The 19,453-nt window shown below is 43.7% G+C and overlaps 1 protein-coding gene across 4 annotated transcripts in view; it reads left to right on the top strand.

Moving 5' to 3' along the window:
• DNAJC27 (DnaJ heat shock protein family (Hsp40) member C27) overlaps positions 1-5,721 on the top strand; it is a 28,459-nt gene extending 22,738 nt beyond the window's left edge. For 3 of the 4 annotated variants that reach the window (NM_001198559.1, XM_047444647.1, XM_047444648.1), the window contains one exon: positions 1,609-5,721. In NM_001198559.1, the coding sequence (NP_001185488.1) occupies positions 1,609-1,614 (6 nt within the window). In that variant the 3' untranslated portion in view covers positions 1,615-5,721. The remainder of the gene's footprint in view (positions 1-1,608) is intronic. The other variant, NM_016544.3, reaches the window with a different exon arrangement.
• Positions 5,722-19,453: the final 13,732 nt, after the last annotated feature.

The following is a 19,453-nucleotide window of genomic DNA, read 5'->3' as shown; positions in this document are numbered from 1 at the left end:
GGCAGAGTGGCTGGAAGGGCCCTTCCCAGGACTCCCTTGTGGGGAAGAGGGAGGATGCTGTACCTTCCTCAAGGACACGGGGTCTTTGGGACAAATAAGAATTCTTACAATTCAAATTGCTTCAGAGAGGGAGAATGTCATTCTTGTTAGCGAATTATCAGAATTACACATGTAGAAAAACAACACGCAGGGCACCAGGAAGGTCCCCCAGAGTATCCTTATGAAAGAAGGAGGTTCTTGCTAGAACAAGAAAATTCAGGACCCCTCTAAGAGCAGAAAGCAGAAAAGGCCCTAGAATGTACGCCTAAGACTTGGAGAACTGTTAACATGACCCTATGACCTCAGTCTCTCCAAGCTGATACATAAAACTTTCCATCATAGCCAAGGTATCAAAGGCCATCTGACTTGGAGAGCCACATTAGAAATCCTTCGATAAAAATAAAGGAGAAAGGCTAGGGCATTTGGTAAAGCACCATATAGCTTATAGGATCACTGGAACCCTGAATTAGAAAAGGAAGGTGGGAAATAAAACCATCTGGTAGAGACAGAGCTTAATCTGACTGGGGAGTGGCTGGGTACTTAGAGCCCTCTGGGAGGCCTGACACCAGAGGATGATGACCAGTGGGGACAGGGACAGATGGGTCCAGGCCCCTCCCCAGCCAGTTTTGGCTCTTTGAGGAGCTCAGAAGCCTGCAGCTCTCTCCTGGAGCGCTGCTGGTTTATCGGAACCGCCGGATTGGAGAAGCACTGCTACTGCTCCTTTCCTCTCTGGATAATACTGATCTCTGTCGTGTTTCTTCTTTGGTCTCGTGAGCTCATTGTCATTCTGGACTACCCCTTTCCAGCATCCCTTGCTTGCTCAGTGGTGTCACCTTCTTGGGCCTCAGATTCCTCGTGACCTTGACCCTGGAGCTCATTTCAGCCCCTTTCTTTTCATCTTCTCCTCCTGGATATTCAGCTCATCATCCACTTCTGCCATTTCTTTCTTTATCTTTTATCTTCCCTTGTTTCCTTCCATAAATACCTTAATCTAAACTTGTACTCACTCATGCCTGGGTTATGTAACAACCTCCTGTATCCTAACTTCAAGAAACAGTTTTCCCAGCACACACTTGTCATGAAACACCTACTGTTGTGATTGTTTATCAGGCCCAGGTGTTGGGGTTGTTTTGCTTCCCGTCTGTGCTGTGTTCGGGCTCCATTCCAGGCCACTGTTGGTTCTCTCCCAGAACCCCTTCTTTCAGAAGGCAACTCTGGATGCCTTCCCTGGTGCCCAAGCCCTTATTCTTTCAATCAGCAAAGATATGCTGAGTGCCTGTGAGGTGCCAAGTACTGCCTGTTTTCATCTGATTATTATTTTACTAAGTGTTTTGTTAGCATTTATATACTTTTTGCATTGTGCAATAATAACTTTTTCAATTTGTGTTATATATTACATACTATTTATTGGTTGGTTGTCTGTTTTCTAGTCCTTTAATCCTGCCTTTGAGAAAGGGTAATAATTTAGGATATGTTCACTGTAAGAGATACTATGTGTGTCCAAACAGCTAACATGCAGTGGGTTGGGCTGACTCTGTTACTAACATAGATCTTGGCTTCTTTTCCCAGGGATGAAGTCAATAAAGCGTATCGGAAACTTGCTGTGCTTCTTCACCCTGACAAATGTGTAGCACCTGGCAGTGAAGATGCCTTCAAAGCAGTTGTGAATGCTCGGACAGCCCTCCTGAAAAACATCAAGTAGAAAGTACAGAAAAAAGCCACATGTGGGACTCAAATGCAAACAGACTTTCCCTAGAGGTGAAATAACCAACGTGGAGTTTTCCTTCCCAGAATCTCACTGCTCTTTTCATTCATGTGTTGTCATTTGTATATCAGTAATTCAGGTACCCATTTCATAGACATTTTACTGAGAAATGACCTGCATTTGTATGAAGTGAACTGAGCGTCACACCCTGTACTTCATTTCATATTTCTAGATAATTCTGAATTTTTTTCTCATTCGTCAGCTCTGTAATTATAGTATCACTTAGACATTTCACTTGGGGAAATCCACAAGGTTCCTGGAGGAGGGAAGAGAGGACAAGAGGACCCTTTCACTTTTTCTTTTTTACGGAATTCATCATCAGAGAAGAAAATAACAAAAATGGAAGCAAACAACATCAGAACCCCTGTAAGTTTGGTGTGACCTTACAGACAAGTTGCTGCTTTTACAATGAGTTCCTTAGGTGGTATTTTAACCCATCGATCTATAATGATGACTCTTGGCAGCCCTTTGGGAGTTTGTAAAATGAGGTGATACAGTTCTGAATTGAGCATTCCTTTATGATATTCACTCTGTTCCTCTTCTGCAGCCACCAGTGGGAGAGACAAGCCAGTCCTAAGAGAAAAGGTGGTGGCAGCCACAAATTCTAGGTACACTGGCTGCTGCCTATCCTGTCCCTGGATCTGAGGCCTTTCCCTTGCCATAGAAATGGTTGCTGGTAGCAGTAGAGAGCACTGTGCACCTGGGAATGAGGAATCAGGCCCCAAGACAGAAGTACTTGGAGGAGCCAGCTGCAGTAGTATCCGCCTGTAGTCCCAGCTACTCAGGAGGCTGAGACAGGAGGATTGCTTAAGCCCAGGAGCTCAAGTCCCACCTGGGCAACATAGTAAGATCTTGTCTCTTAAAGAAAAAAAAAAAAGGTACTTAGAGGTCGCACTTAAAGATTATGCACATCAGCAGAGGAAAGGCCAGCCAAGCTTGGGGCAAGCTTGATGCAGTAGGAGAGACTCCTTATGAGGCTTAGCCCTTGTCTTACTGCCAGCCTTTGCCACAGGCAGGTGAGAAAGGCAGGGCCACTCCTCAGCAAAGTTGGCCTCTTCTACACTTCCTCACCAGTGTTGTTTCTTCCTTTTTTCCCCTCTTCCCCTTCCCGTCTTGTGTTTTTTCTGAACCCCACATCTGCCATCATTTCTCTCCTCTAGAGTCCCTGGCTTCTGGCCACTGCCTCCTCCCTCTTCTAAGCCTTGGCCTGAATCTGGTTGATCAGAGGCAAGTGTGGATCCTTTGGGTGGCAGTCAGGGGAGATCTCAGGGCCTCTGTTGGGAGGAATCTCTGTAATTCCTGCTTGGGCTCCAAATTTCTGAAGAGTAATATTTTTAAACTATAGCTTACAAAATACATTCTCTGACCACAGTCTCCTCCTTGATATACAAGGGATGGATGAAGTTCATGTATTAGGACTGGCACTCCTTACGGTGCTTATAGAACTAGTCTCACCACTTGACTCATTACGTCGTCATTCTTGTTACATCACTCATACTTTTAGCTGCAACCACACTAATTCACATTTTTATATACTTTCAATTAGCTGTACTAATTGGGGCTTGAAAGTATATAAAATCTTCCTGTCCTGTGAATTTTAAAAAGCTATCCCATATCGATTGCCAAAGAGCATCTACCTTACCTCCTAAGAAGAAAAGCCACTTTCTTCCAATCCAAGCCCACTGCAGCCTTGTGGATTTTCCACACAGCAGCTTTTCACTGTATGCCTGTACTTGGGCTGCACTGAGCTTGTCTTCAGGAAACCAGAGCGTTGCTTTATCATCGCACTTTTCATCTTGGTAATATCAAAACAACTTTTTAAATGAACTGATTGATATATGTTATTTCTTGCGAGGTTTTCCTCTGGCCTTTAACTGGCTTCTGAGGCTACAGAACTCCAACCCAGAGTTCTTCGGGACCTAAATTTTGCTTAAGGAAGGCCTTTATCATGCTGAAAGCACTCAGACATGTCTGTCCTCACAGCAGAATGTAGAAGTCATATGAATGAGGGATCGTGCACGGTAGCGTCAGCCCGAATTGACACGACAACTCTGAATGTGTGGCCCTCTATGAAAGCTGGTGCCAGTTTTCATCACTGTTATTAAATACTAGATTGGGAACCTCATTCAGCCGTATTGCACAGATGAGCAATTACAGCAGAGAAAATTCATTAGTGCTCCCACTCATATCCTTATGTGTGAGTTGGTGAAATTTAGCCTGAGCTTGATTCTTAGGTCTTGAGACTCAGTTTCCAACACCTTCATTATTAATGTTAAGAATGGCCATATACCACTTCATTTACGTAAAAGGAATAAAATAAGCAAGTTAAGCTTCAGGGTCCTAGAATTTTTCTGATTTCTATAATCCTTCAGCAGAATATTAAGAAATAAAGCATGATCTGCAATGGAAAGGTTTTTTTGGCACTAACTTCATGCAGAATTTCACAGACATCTATGCATTAATTTAAATTCTTGGTGCAAATGTGTGCTTTGTAGTTCAACCTTATTAAAAATTCTTCAGCCAGTTAGGATTTCAAAATACATTAGTGAGAGTAACAGCTAGCAGAATAATTACAATGGCTAAAACGTTTTTATAGAGAATCTTGTTTTTCAAAAAAGAATAAAAAGTTTGAATAGCTATTATTAAAGAAAAGCCATGTCTTCAACATCTGAGTCACCAAGAAGTAACACTTTTTAAACTTGTTAGAAATCCCTGGAGGCATTTCAAATTCATCTTCTAACCTACCTAAGCACTTTAAAATACAGCCTCCTTCTGTTCCTCTGTTCCCCTTCATGCCTCCTTTTGAATTGATATCTCAGCTGTCAATATTTCTTTGACTTCAGCATTGTTATTTTATTTCTCTATATCAATGTGTCCTTAGTTTTCTTAGCCTGTTAATTTAAAAATCCAGACTTGGGGGTCATTGTGTTGCTACCCAAGAGAAAATGCTACAGTTTTATAGATTGCACATCATTCTTTAAGGCATACTTTTACCTCAGGAAACTTACTCTAGTATGTTCTCATATATTGAATTCTCAACTAAGTAACTATTTCTTTATACCTATAAACTAGTACCTAATTCACTGTTAGTTAAATGAGCTATAGATAAGGCAGCTAAATTTCTGAAAGATAGCCAGAGTAAGTAAGCAGCCACTGCAAGCTCTGAATCAGTTTTTTAAAAAAAAGAAAAAAAAAAAAAAGGAGCTGTGCCCCATTGAACAATGACAACATCACAAGGGGAAGGGAGGGATTTTGCCAAAAGTTAGAAAGGTGGAGCTGTAAGCCATGTGCTTGTTGCCTTTGACAGTGACAGTGCGCGTCTTACAACTAATTCCACTAGGCATGGGAATGTCACCTCCTTTGCCACTGTACCCCATCAAGCTTACTCTGAATCAAAGGTTTTGTAAAACTTTTGAAAATGAACTTAGCTGCAAAATATAGCTAACCACTTTCCATTGCAAGCTTTGCAAAGTGAAGAGAGGTTCGTACTTCTCATAATTGGTATTTAGCACAATTGTAAGATACAGTTTTACTGTTTGTACATCGTTTTTTTCCATTAAACTTTTCTAGAGAAGACAAAAGCTTACACTGGTGACATGGATAAGTGAGATGGTGTCTAACGAGCAGTGCAATATTAGGCGGTGCAATAGAGGCCCTGTTGGCAAGATGAGTTTTGCTGGAGAGCTGGACAGTGTTGGTTAGCTTCCTGCATTGATTGCCCCTGGGCGTTCTTCCCCCTTAACTGTGAAAGCAGAGTCTATAAATGAACTCTTTGCTCTTACAAGGTAATTTACATATTTTCTTTCTGTTGAAATAACTGAAAATGTTAAATCTACCAGTTTATGTCTTGTAAACAGAGTGTCATATGTATTTAAGTTGTGTATTTTTATAAAGTAAAGCCAAGTATCAAACACCGGTCTGTGGGCTGCATTTATTTGTGGAAACACTGGTCTTTAATGGAAAACATACTAAGCTAGATGCCAATCCAGTTCCTCACCGACTGTGACCCTCAGTAAGACATTCCTGAGAATGGCCCACCCCTCTTTCAGGGGAGCTACTCTGTCCTCTTCATCCTACTAACATGGTCTAAGGGGGAGACGTTCAAAATGTTCAAGGTCTTTTTTCTTTTTTTTTTTTTTTTTTTTTGAGATGGAGTCTCACTCTTGTCACCCAGGCTGGAGTGCAGTGGTGTGATCTCAGCTCACTGCAACCTCTACCTCCTGGGTTCAAGCAATTCTCCTGCCTCAGCCTCCCGATTAGCTGGGATTACAGGTGCCCGCCACCATACCTGGCTAATTTTTGTATTTTTAGTAGATTTTTGTAATTTTAGCCATGTTGGCCAGGCTGGTCTCGATCTCCTGACCTCGTGATCCACCTGCCTTGGCCTCCCAAAGTGCTGGGATTACAGGCGTGAGCCACTGCTGAGCCATTGCGCCCGGCCTCAAAGTTCAAGTTCTTTCCCATCTTTCCTCCCTGGTCACAGACACCAGTCCACAGGACAGGAATGTGACCCCAAATAGGTCACATAGGTGTCCTTCCCTAGGATCTCTCCAACTGAAGCTAGGAAGATACTTTCTCTCAGGAAAGGAAGAAGTCCCAGTGATGGCTGACAACCTTGATTCCAACCTCATGGGAAAAAATTGAGAATGAAGCAGACATCCAGCGAGAGGCAGAGTCCTGATGGTTTTCAGCCTTGCCTTCTAGTCCTTGAGGGAGGGCCCGTGAGCTTGTTTGTCAAGCTCGTCAGCCACCTCGGAGTCCTTCCACTTGTTTACTGCTTCAGTTTAGTTGGAGTTTGCTTTCTGTTACCTGCAGCCTAAAGAATGTTAGAAAATAAAAGCCAACAAGGATCATAAGCAGGGATGAGAAAGCTATGGTCAGTAACATTTAACAAGTGTAACATTTTATGTATTAAAATATATCCAATTACTTAGTTTTTCTCAACTGGAGTCTTTGGCTGCTTTTTAAACCAATAACCAGTTGTAAATGGAAAAGAACTGGACTTACTCAGTTCATTTCAGGGTCAATTTAAGATGCAAAATTATCTGGCTTTTTAGTTTCCAGTTGATCCATTGTCTATCGAGGGCACCTGTAATTTCTTAAATTTTTAATCAAACTTTATTGTTAAAGTGTTCATTCACCAGCCGGGTGCAGTGGTTCACACCTGTAATTCCAGCGCTTTGGGAGGCCGAGGTGGGTGGATCACGGGGTCAGGCATTCGAGACCAGCCTGGCCAACATAGTGAAACCCTGTCTCTACTAAAAATACAAAAAATTAGCTGGGCATGGTGGCGGGCACCTGTAATCCCAGCTACTCTGGAGGCTGAGGCAGGAGAATCGCTTGAACCTGGGAGGCAGAGGTTGCGGTGAGCCGAGATCGCACCACTGCCCTCCAGCCCGGGCGTCAGTGCGAGACTCCGTCTCAAATATATATATATATATATACATTCACCATGTATTTACTGAGCATCTACCATGTGCCAGGCCCTGTCCTAGGCACTGGAGATCTAGCAGAGCACAGAAGTGACAAAAATCCCTGCCCTGTGGAGCTTACAGTCTAGTGTCATTTTTTAAAATTTGTGTTTTGAAGAGTTTCTTTTTTTCTGTAATTTATTTCTGAAGAAGCAAGTTTGCATTTTTTAGAAATCTTCAAGATATACAATTTCAGAATTAATACTCTTATTGCTACTATATACTGAAGATCATGTAGGTTGTTAAATGCTTTTATTTTTTTGAGAGCGCAACCATTATCATTATGCCAAGCTCAGTTTTTCAGGTTGGCCTAAAGGAAATAGTTCCAGCTGGGCGCAGTGGCGCACACCTATAATCCCAGCACTTTGAAAGGCCAAGGTGGGGGCAGGAATCACTTGAGGTCAGGAGTTCAAGACCAGCCTGGCCAGCATGGCGAAACCCCCGTCTCTACTAAAATTACAAAAATTTCCTGGGGGTGGTGGTGAACACCTGTAGTCCCAGCTACTAAGGAGGCTGAGGCAAGAGAAGCGCTTGAACCCAGGAAGCGGAGGTTGCAGTGAGCTGAGATCATGCCACTGCACTCCAACCTGGGTAACAGAGTGAGACTCTGTCTCAAAATAAAATAAAATAATTAAAGGAAACAGTTCCAACCTTTAGTTAGGGCTTTCTTTATATACAAGTTTGTATATTTATAATGAAAATATTAACAAATTCTTCTAAAGCAGTTGAAAGCTGGATTCATTTTAAGGGAAAATATCTAAAATCTAAGTTTGTTGTTTTAGTTATATAAACCAATGTGTACCTATAATACCACCTTGTTAAAATTCTGGTCAGTTGACTGTTCTAAATGCTGTGACTTTAAGAAAATGTCTCCTTGCATCCAAAAGCAATTCGTTGGTAATTATAAAATCAGCAGCTGTAACTCATGAACGTATTTGTATTAGGAAGAGAATGTAAAAATCTGCTATGATTGAGAGAAATTAAGATGAGAAGGTCTTATGTCCTCAGATGTCAGGATGTAAACATTCTGCTAGTTTTGGAGTATGAGAGAATGAAAAGTTAATTGAATAAATACTGAAGAAAGAAAGGATCTTAGTGGTTCAAAAGGAAAATAAGGCCAAGTACGGTGGCTCATGCCTGTAATCCTAGCAATTTAGGAGGCAAGGCAGGTGGATCACCTGAGGTCAGGAGTTCGAGACCAGCCTGGCCGACATGGTGAAACCCCCATCTCTACTAAAAATACAAAAATTAGCTGGGAGTGGTGGTACATGCCTGTAATCCCAGCTACTCGGGAGGCTGAGGCAGGAGAATTGCTTGAACCCGGGATGCGGAGGTTGCAGTGAACCGAGATCGCACCACGCACTCCAGCCTGGGCGACAAGAGCGAAACTCTGTCTCAAAAAAAAAAAAAAAAAGGAAAAATAGAAGAAACTGTCTCCCTTCTGACCAGCAGGGAGCAAACAGAAAAGCCCCAAGTCGGTGGTTGTCAACTGTTTTTTTAGTGACTAAACCCTGTATTTCTAGTAAACTCCAACATGGGACCCCTATATATTAAAGAGCTAAAAGCAACATTTTATTAGGACAAATCTGTAAGTTCACATTGGTAACTTCACCCCTTCTAGAAGAAGCGAATAGGCAGTTGTGCCTCCTGAGGAAGATGGCAGGGTTTAGATCTAAGATGGTAATCTCTCCTGCTCACAGATGCTGGTGGAGGAGAGCACCTTGCCCAAGAAAATGAATCGTATTCAAGGAAACTGGGTTAAGAGCTTTTGCTGGGCCTCGTGCTGAAGGCAGTGCTAGGCAGAAGCTCTGTTTAATGCAGCTTCCTGATGAAATTTTAGCTATGAGGGAAGGTACTCCGACATTGTGCTGTGAGGCAAAGAGCTAAGCCGCTCTTCCAAAGAAATGAACAAGACTCCCAGAGGTTGGGGACTGCCTAAAGGAAGAGAAAGATTTGATTAGATGGAGTAGAAGACTGAGGTCTTGAGAAGGGTAGTTAGAAAGATGCTAGATGGTAGAAATTATGAGATATTAAATAACCTTAGAAAGATAGCCAAAGAGGGCCGGGTACGGTGGCTCACACCTGTAATCCCAGCACTTTAGGAGGCCGAGGCAGGAGGATCGTGAGGTCAGGAGATCAAGACCATCCTGGCCAACATGGTGAAACCCCGTCTCTACTAAAAATACAAAAATTAGCTGGGTGTGGTGGTGCATGCCTGTAATCCCAGCTACTCGGGAGGCTGAGGCAGGAGAATAGCTTGAACCCAGGAGGCGGAGGTTGCAGTGAGCCAGATCGTGCCACTGCACTCCAGCCTGGTGACAGAACAAGATTCCAGCTGGGAAAAAAAAAAAAAAAAGTGAAATAATTAAGAAAAGAAAGAAAGATAGTCAAAGAGAAGTTCCAGAAATAACCAATGACTCTTAAGAACATGGATGTCTTTTATTTTTATATTGTTATCCCCATTTTATGGATGAGAAAACCGAGGCTCAGAGGGGTTAAATGCCTTGCCCGAGGCCACACAGGAAGCTATTCACGCCGGGAGAGGTAGCTCACACCTGCAATCCCAGTACTTTAGAAGGCCAAGACACAGCGGATTGCTTGAGCTCAGGAGTTCAAGATCACTCTGGGCAACATGGTGAAATCCTGTTTCCACAAAAAACACAAAAATTAGCCAGGCATGGTGGCACACGTGTAGTCCCAGCTACTCAGGAGGCTGAGGTGGGAGGATGACATGAGCCCGGGAGATCAAGGCTGCAGTGAGCCGTGATTGCACCACTGCACTCCAGCCTGGGGGGCAGGGGGAAAAAGCTATTAAAACCCAAGACTGCCCATTTTCAGAACTCAGCTTCCCACTATATACTATCAGGCTCAGGATCCAAATTTTAAAATATTCTGCTTCCCACTCATAAGTCATATTGTACCTGTTTACCAGGTTGCTTAGATGGACATAAAGAGGTATATATATATATATACTATATATATATATATTTTTTTTTTTTTTTGAGAGGGAGTTTTGCTCTTGTTGCCCAGGCTGGAGTGCAGTGGCGCGATCTTGACTCACCACAATCTCTGCCTCCTGGATTCAAGCAGTTCTCCTAAAGAGGTCTATATATTTTTAAAAGACCACCATAGATAATTTTCCTCATCAAATCCTGCATGTATGCAGAGGAATGACAGAAACTTCTTTCTGAGGTGTGCCCAAACCAAGAAAGAGTTAACATGAGTGCTTTAGAATATGGAATTTGGTGGATGTACTTATTACGTTTTCTTTTCTTTTTTTTTTTTTTTTTGAGACAGAGTCTCTCTCTGTCGCCAGGCTGGAGTGCAGTAGCACGATCTCGGCTCATTCCAACCTCCAACTCCCTGGTTCAAGCAATTCTCCTGCCTCAGCCTCCCGAGTAGCTGGGATTACAGGCATGCACCACCATGCCCAGCTAATTTTTGTATTTTTAGTAGAGATGGGGTTTCACCATGTTGGCCAGGATGGTCTCGATCTCCTGACCTCGTGATCCTCCTGCCTCGGCCTCCCAAAGTGCTGGGATTACAGGTGTGAGCCACCGCACCGAGCCTATGTTTTCTTTCTTTTCTTGCTTTCTTTTTTTTAATTTTTTTTTTTGAGACAAGGTCTCACTCTGTCACCCAGGCTGGAGTGCAGTGGTGCAATCTCGGCTCACTGCAACCTCCACCTCCTGGGCCTAAGTGATCCTCCTACCTTAGCCTCTTGAGTAGCTAGGACCACAGGCACATGCCACCACACCTGGCTAATTTTTCCTATTTTTTGTAGAGACAGTGTCTCCCTGTGTTGCCCAGGCTGCTCTCGAACTCCTGGGCTCAAGCAATCCACCTGCCTTGGCCTCTCAAAGTGCTGAGATTACAGGCGTGAGCTGTCATGCCTGGCCACTTTTTTTTTTTTAAATGAAATTTTAAACTCTTATAGGACCTCTGATACCTCCAGAATGGCTTGAAAATCATGTCTAAAGGGACCTCCACCCAAGTCAGTAACTGAGAATTAAATAACCTATGAGGCAGGAGACAGGGAGAGACCCACTCTAAGGATTTTGTTTCTGAGTGATTTTCATGTTCCTAACATTCTTTTGTCATAGTTAAAACCCAGGAAGCTCTAAAAGGGCTGTTTCCCACCCCATCCTCGCCCCCAAACGTGGTCAGGCATTTTGTGTTAGATTCACTAGCACTACACAAGAAAAAGGTGGTTTATATTCACCAAACTCTAAAGCTTGTCCCTGGGAAGTGTAATTTAGGGAATGGGGTTAGGATAGTTTCACTTTCGTCCAATCCTGTCTATATTGCTTGAGTTTTCCAAATGAATGTCAATTACAGTGTACTTTGGTCATCTAAAAAGCTATACAAAACCAAAAACTAAGCATAGCACCAGTTTTTTTTTAAGCTCACTCTGAAGCTGTTTGTGGGGACCTCTTACAGTATGGTGACTCTAGGCTGTCATGAAATCCTGCTTCTTTACATTAGTAGAAATTTCAGACTACAGGGAAAACAAGCTTTTAATCACTTAGAAATTTTTCAGAAAGCTAACATAGCAATCAGTGCTCCCTGGCTGGGATTTCAAATCCACTTAAGGTAGTTACATATCCGTAAACTCTACTCTCACATAACACAGCAGCAGCAGAATTGAAATTAGAAGACTTGGGATAGAGTCTTATCTCTCCTGTTCATTAATAGAGTAGCCTTGGGCAAGTGGATTCACCTTCTGAGATTAGGTTTCCTCCGTTATTAGATGAGGCCATTTAATTAGATAACACCTGAGGTCCTTTTGAAAGACCATTATTTTATGAAATTTTACAAAGCCAGTAAAAACTAGGTTTCCCAGGCTTCTTGCATATAATTCCACTGCAACATTAACTGAGAGTTTAATAATCTAAGAACAGGTGGGGATGCTGGGAGAGACCTACTCTTTGGGGGGATTTCTTCAACACCCCCCATCCCTGCAAAAAAAGGAAAGGAAAAAATAAAAATTAATTTTTAAAATATTAGCGAATTGGCTGGGCATGGTGGCTCACACCTGTAATCCTAGCACTTTGGGAGGCCAAGGCGGGTGGATTGCCTGAGGTCAGGAGTTTGCAACCAGCCTGGCCAACATGGCAAAATCCTGTCTCTACTAAAAATACAAAAATTAGCCAGGAGTGGTCACAGGTGCTTATAATCCCAGCTACTTGGGAGGCTGAGGCAGGAGAATTGCTTGAACCCGGTTGGGGGGGCAGAGGTTGCAGTAAGCCAAGATTGCGCCACTTGTGAGCCGGGATCATGCCACTTCACTCCAGCCTGATCATAAGAGTGAAACTCCGTCTCAGAAAAGAAAAATAAATAAATAAATAAATAAATAAATGTGTGTGTGTGTGTGTGTGTGAATTAGGCTTTTCCTAAAGTTTGGAATAGCAGGCATTGTTGAACCCTTATTTTTTTAAGCAATTATATACAGAGATAGATATAGATTTTTTTTTGAGATAGAGTCTCCCTCTGTCACCCAGGCTGGAATGCAATGGTGTGATCTTGGCTCACTGCAGCCTCCACTTTCCAGCTCAAGTGATCCTCCCATCTCAGCCTCCCAAGACTACGGGTGTACACCACCACACCCAGCTAATTTTTGTAATTTTTTTTTGGAGACGAGTTTTTGCCATGTTGCCCAGACTGGACTCGAACTCCTGGACTCAAGCAATCCACCTGCCTCAGTCTCCTGAGGAACAGGGGCTGTAGGTGTGTACCACCATGCCTGGGTAAGCCCTCTTTTATTTTAATTAAAGAAAAACCTTAAATTCTTACTACATGAAATAGTGATTATGGCATCTCATTTTACAAAGGTTTGAGATGAAATCACAGGTCTGAAATTTTCAGTAGTATGGGTATGGTGGCTTACGCCTATAGTCTCAGCACTTTGGGAGGCCGAGGTGGGAGGATCACTTGAGGCCAGGAGTTTGAAACTAGCCTGGGCAACGTAAAGACCCTGTCTTTATAAAAAGTTAAAAAATAAAAATTTAAAAAATTATCTGTTTGCGGTGGTGTGGTGGTTTGGGCCTGTAATCCCAGCTACCCAGGAGGCTGAGGAGGGATGATCACTTGAGCTGAGGAGTTTGAGGCTATAGTGAGCCATGATCATGCCACTGCACTCTAGCCTGGGTGACAGGTGAGATCCCAACTCAGAAAAAAAAATAAGAAAAGAAAAGAAAGGAAAAATGTTTCCTGGAAAAGAGCTAACCCTGACTTGATTTTGGTAGGGGTGGGAGAAGCAAAAAAAATTTTTTTTTCAGTAGCAAGTCCATAAGATACAGATGTTCAAAGACATTCTTTTACGAAACAGAAGTTATCTTGGCTCCCACGCTCACATTTTCACCAAGGATGGGAAAACTTAAAATTTGCCTCTTAAGGTAAGTTAGTCACTTCTGGTTTTAAACACAATTAACTCAAGATTAAAACTCAGTAAATGCAAGATCATCTCCCCCTCACATTTCTGCTCCCCTCTTTCCCCCCAGGAGAGATCTAAAGTTGGGGTGGGGGTGCCTCACCTCTCGTTCTGGCCAAGAGTAACGTTTTCTGTCCACTTGCCATCCCCTACCCTCACAGCCTTGGCTGCCTCTAGCTGGTCCTACTGGTCGATCTCCCACTGATGTCATTGGTCCCTCCGTGGCCTCCAGACTGAAGGTATGAGCACTGGTCCTCCTAGTTGTCCAGGCTGGCCCTAGGCCTCCCTGCTCTGCCCCCTGCCCCCTGGAGGATTGGTAACTCTGGGCCACTTTCCCCATCCCAGCCATGAGGCCCATCCCCTTAGGCCTCTCTTCCAGCCATCACCACTCTGAGGCTCTGGTGCCATGTCAGACCCAATTTCATGCCAGGCTCCTCTTGGAAACTGCAACTGCAACCTCTCAGGCTGCTTCAAGTTTTCTACTAGGCCCGAGGAGTGACTGGTGTGCTGGCAAACTGGCTCCCTTGGGAGGGGGTTGGGAGAAACCCTGATTTGTAGCTTTTGCTTGATTCCTATAGTATAGATACTCACTATGGTTGATTTCAAGTTGAGGAGAAATAACATCACCGACCAATAAGATCTCACAAGCTGTGACAGCAAACTCTGGCTTGGCACTTTGTTGACTCCAGGAAAGGGGGAAAGTGAGCTTGGCTCTAATGTGGCCTCCAGCAACCAAGCTTTCCTCCCACCCCTCAGGAACCTTCCCTCTGATCTCAACTCCTCAACTACATTCTTAGTGCTTGGGGTAGGGATGATGTCTCAAAGTCTTCTCTCTCATAGGATTCCTCACGGGGCACTTGAGGAGGCACTAAGTATGTTGACTGATGACAGTATTTTAAAATATTGCTGTTAGGCCGAGCGCGGTGGCTTATGCCTGTAATCCCAGCACTTTGAGAGGCCAAGGCAGGCAGATCACCTGAGGTCAGGAGTTCGAGACCAGCCTGGTCAACATGGTGAAACCCCGTCTCTACTAAAAATACATAAATTAGCCAGGTGTGGTGGCAGGCGCCTGTAATCCCAGCTACTTAGGAGGCTAAGGCAGGAGGATTGCTTGAACCTGGGAGGCAGAGGTTGCAGTGAGCCGAGATCATGCCATTGTCCTCCAGCCTGGGCAACAAGAGTGAGACTCCATCTCAAAAAAAAAAAAAAAAAAAAAAAAAAAAAAAATATATATATATATATATATATATATATATATATATATATATATATATATATATATATATATCTGTTAAAGGCTACACCACACTGTTTTTCACTATCAGAGGCATAAAGGCAACTCACCTCTTGTGATTTTCCCTGTAGACCTGATGAAGTTAACCAATGCCCCAAAGCTCCTCAATCTTGTGCCAGAGAGTATCCCTTCCATATTGCCAAGGAATGTTTAATGGAGCAAGGTTTGGGGTTTTGTAAAGTGTATTTATTGGGATGGATTTGGCTGAAGTCTAAGTCTAATTAATTGATATCATGGTTTAAAGTTGTATGCAGGAAGACCTGACAACTCACTAGCAGTCTACAATCGGCATTATTAGTTGGTATTAAGTCTTGAATAGTCTTTGTCGCCCTAAGAGAGAAGCTTCATTTTAGAAAGTATAGGATTCATTGCAACAAGGACTTATTGAGCACCTCCTATTTGCAAAGCACAGCAGATGTGCAGGACAGTGATTTTCAAAGTGGCCTCAGCATCACCTGGGCGCTTGCACATCCCTGGCCAGGCGCGGTGGCTCACGCCTGTAGTCCCAGCATTTTGGGAGGCCAAGGCAGGCGGATTACCTGAGGTCAGGAGTTTGAGATCAGCCTGGCCAACATGGCAAAACCCTGTCTCTACTAAAAAATGCAAAATTAGCCGGCATGGTGGCGCGTGCCTGTAGTCCCAGCTACTCGGGAGGCTGAGGCAGGAGAATCGCTTGAACCCAGGAGGTGGAGGTTGCAGTGAGCTGAGATTGTGCCACTGCACTCCAGCCTGGGTGACACAGTGGGACTCTGTCTCAAAAAAAAAAAAGAGGGCAAATTTGGAAAGCAACTTCTTTTTCTCCCTCCTCAAACGCCTACATTATGAAGCTTTCTGTTGCCTATAGGATAATATCCACGTTCCTACCATTTATTGAGCACTTACTATAGACCAAGTACTTCCTAAGCAATGAAAAAGCATTATATTTGAATCTCACAATAACCCCTTAGGATAAATATTTTATCCCTATACTTTGCATAAGGAAAAGTCCTTAGAGAGGGTAAGTTAATTATCTAAGACTACTGTAGTGGCTGCCTTACGGTCTACCAAAGATGGGCCCACCTAGAACTTCAAAGTGTGACCTTATTTGGAATAGGGTCTTTGCAGATGTGATTAAGGTAAGGACCTTGAGAGGAGATCATCCTGGGTTAAGGCAGGCCCTAAATCCATTGTCAACTCCAAAGAGAAGAGAAGAGGAGAGACAGAGAGGCACACAGAGAAAGGGAGGCTTAGTGAAGCCAGAGGCAGAGCATGGAATCTTAAAGCCCCAAGCAAAGGAGCACCTGAGGCTGCCAGCAGCCACCAGCAGCTGGCAGAGAGGCATGGGCTGGATTCGTCCTCAGAGCCTTCAGAGGGAAACAGCCTTGCCAACACCCAACACACCCCGATTTTGGACCTCTGACCTTCAGAAGCATGAGTGAATAACTTGTTTTAAGCCACCCAGTTTGTGGTAATTTGTTATGCAGCCCTGGGACATGAAGGCAACCATTGAGCTGTTGCAAAAGTGGGACCTGGATTCAAACTGGGGCCTGACTTCAGAGCCCATCCCTATCCGACCTCCTTCCATCTGCCACCTCTGTGTTTCCACCTCTTTACCCTCTCCCGTCCTCTAGGCACACTGAGCGTGTTGTTCTCTGAACACACCATGGCACACGGCCTGTGCCTTTGTCATGCTGCCCTCGACCCAACACGCCCTCCCTCCCCCTCTGTCCACCTGGAAAACTCTCACTCAACTTTTACATCCAGCTCCAACAACTCCTTTTCTGAAAGGTTTTCAGGAGTCTCCTCTGCTGCCCAGGCACATTTAGTAGATCTTCTCCTCAGGAGGGCAGGGTCTCCACAAAAACCTGACCTTTTTAAAAATCTTTGTATCTGCAGTGCTTAATAAAAGCATAAGAAATATTTGATAAATGAATGAATGAATGAATGGCCTCTGTTGCTGAACTGTGAAATAGATTGTAGATCCTTCAACCACATCATTCCCAGCCAAATGAAAAAAGTCACAGAATACAACTGAAAATGTTGAAAACAGGGGTCTCCTTGAGAGTAAGGAAGCAAGAAAAGTGGGGGTACCCTTAACAGCTAAATGTATTTCTCATTAGCTGATCAAATCTTGGTGTAACTTTCTCAATGAAATGTGTTTAACTAGTTCCCTGGTTTATAAAATCTCCTAGGAAAATGACTAGAGTTGGCTTCATTGGGAATCAGACCTGGCCTAGTCATTATCGAGCCACTAGAATAACTAACCTTAGACCTGTCCTATCCAAAGACTGCTTGTTTTAGAGGTAATACATTTTCTCTACTGGTTAAGCCATTTTAAATTGAATATGGGGTAACTTAAGAAAGAAATCATCCCAACAACTGTAATACAACTCAGTCACCTGAAATATTTCTGGTGCAACCTAGACAGACGCCTGAAAACTCTACCATTTGCAATTTATTAAAGAAAAGTTCTGGCCAGGCGCGGTGGCTCACGCCTGTAATCCCAGCACTTTGGGAGCCCGAGGTGGGCAGATCACGAGGTCAGGAGATCGAGACCACGGTGAAACCCTGTCCCTACTAAAAATACAAAAAATCAGCTGGGCGCGGTGGTGGGCGCCTGTAGTCCCAGCTACTCAGGAGGCTGAGGCAGGAGAATGGCGTGAACCCGGGAGGCAGAGCTTGCAGTGAGCCAAGATCGTGCCATTGCACACTCCAGCCTGGGCGACAGAGCGAGACTCAGTCTAAAAAAAAAAAAAAAGAAAAGAAAAGTTCTGCGTGTTAAATTACAAGTTTCACCCTTGAGAGGGACACATCACAAAACTATTAACATTTTAGAATTTATTCATTTATTCCTTCCTCCAAGCATTTATTAATAACCTTTTCTATGCCAGTCACTTGGCTATACTCTGGGATAAGAAATAATGAAGAGTGAGTATCAATTTACAGCTAACATTTAAATCCTCCTTTATATCATTCTCTCTAAAGTTATTTAAATGCAGTTATTTTTAGTTTAAAAGCATGTTTGAATGTAGACTTGATTTAAAAAAAAAAAGATTCCCACTTATAGCTACATTAATGCAAAATTGTGAACAAGAGGAAGGGCCTCCAGCTCTATCCACGTTAATGTGCATGACTTGTTGGGAAGCTCTTAGTGAGAGAAACAAGAAAATATGGACCCCTAGAAAAGCCTGCCCTCGTTCCAGGAAGGTGATAAAAACAGGGGTGCAGACCAAAGCTGAGATGGGCAGGGAGAAGAGAAGCATTGTGCTCACTGTCTGAGGATGTGAGCCCCGGGCTCCTGCTGAAAAGGCAGACAGCCCGAGAACCAGCGAGCAGAGGGTGTGAAGCCAGCAGAAAGGCTGACTCAATGTGAGTGCTTCCTAAAAATAGCAGAGCAGGGTTGTAAGCCTTCCTGTCCAAACAGATGTAAAACTGGCAGGTAGTGTGGGCTGGGCGTGGGGGACTGCGAATGAAAGGAGAGTGGGGGCCTCCTTGACCACAGACCCCAACACTAGGGTTCTGGGTGCACACTCAGCTCTGCCACTTGCTTCCCATTCAGCAGGGGATGGCTGCACGTGGTGCCAGCAGCATCTCAGAATGGGTGACAGACAGAATTGCTAAAACTACTCTGAACCCATTTCACGGAGATGAATTTTAATGGAGTGAAAAAGAAATTTTTTAAATGAAAATTAAAAAGTGTAACATTTTTTTAAGGCCTGATTTTGCCAAAAAAAAAAAAAAAAAACTCAGCACATATTCTACTGAATAGAACACTTTTAGAAAGGTGCCCAGCAGTGCCTGGCATCCCCCATGGGACACAGCAAGATTGGAAAAAGGATGGCAAAGCAGGTGGCTAATTTATTTTCACCACTGCCTGTGCGGGAAACAGCATCTTTTTCAAGAACACAAGAGGGAAAACAATGTCAGCATGAATTATTTAATAGTTATAAAAATTACTATCTGCAAATACTCATGGATATGCTCAGCCCAAAACCTGAATGTGTCTAATGTGAATGTAAGTCAGCCTGAGATTTCATGAGAGGCCTGAGACCCTTGTGGAATGAATACTAGAGAGCATTCTTAGATTTGGACCACTGTCTTCCAGGAGTGATTAGTTTGCATCTTCTCACCGGTTTTCTCCCTCTTTTTTTTTTTTTTTGAGACAGAGTCTCGCTCTGTCACCCAGGATGGAGTGCAGCGGCACGATCTTGGCTCACTGCAACCTCCGCCTCCCAGGTTCAAGTGATTCCTCTGCCTCAGTCTCCCGAGTAGCTGGGATTACAGGCACACACCACCACGCCCAGCTAATTTTTGTATTTTGAGTAGAGACGGGGTTTCGCCATGGTGGCCAGGCTGGTCTCAAACTCCTGACCTTGGTTGATCCACCCGCCTGAGGTGGGAGGTGATCAGCCTCCCACAGTGCTGGGATTACAAGCGTGAGCCACTGTGCCCGGCCCAGTTTTCTCTTGACAGCC

This window comes from Homo sapiens, chromosome 2 (assembly GCF_000001405.40).
Source record: "Homo sapiens chromosome 2, GRCh38.p14 Primary Assembly".
Taxonomy (NCBI): Eukaryota; Metazoa; Chordata; class Mammalia; order Primates; family Hominidae; genus Homo; species Homo sapiens.
The sequence above is the reverse complement of the archived record's forward strand: the minus strand, read 5'-3'. Positions and strand labels throughout refer to the sequence as shown.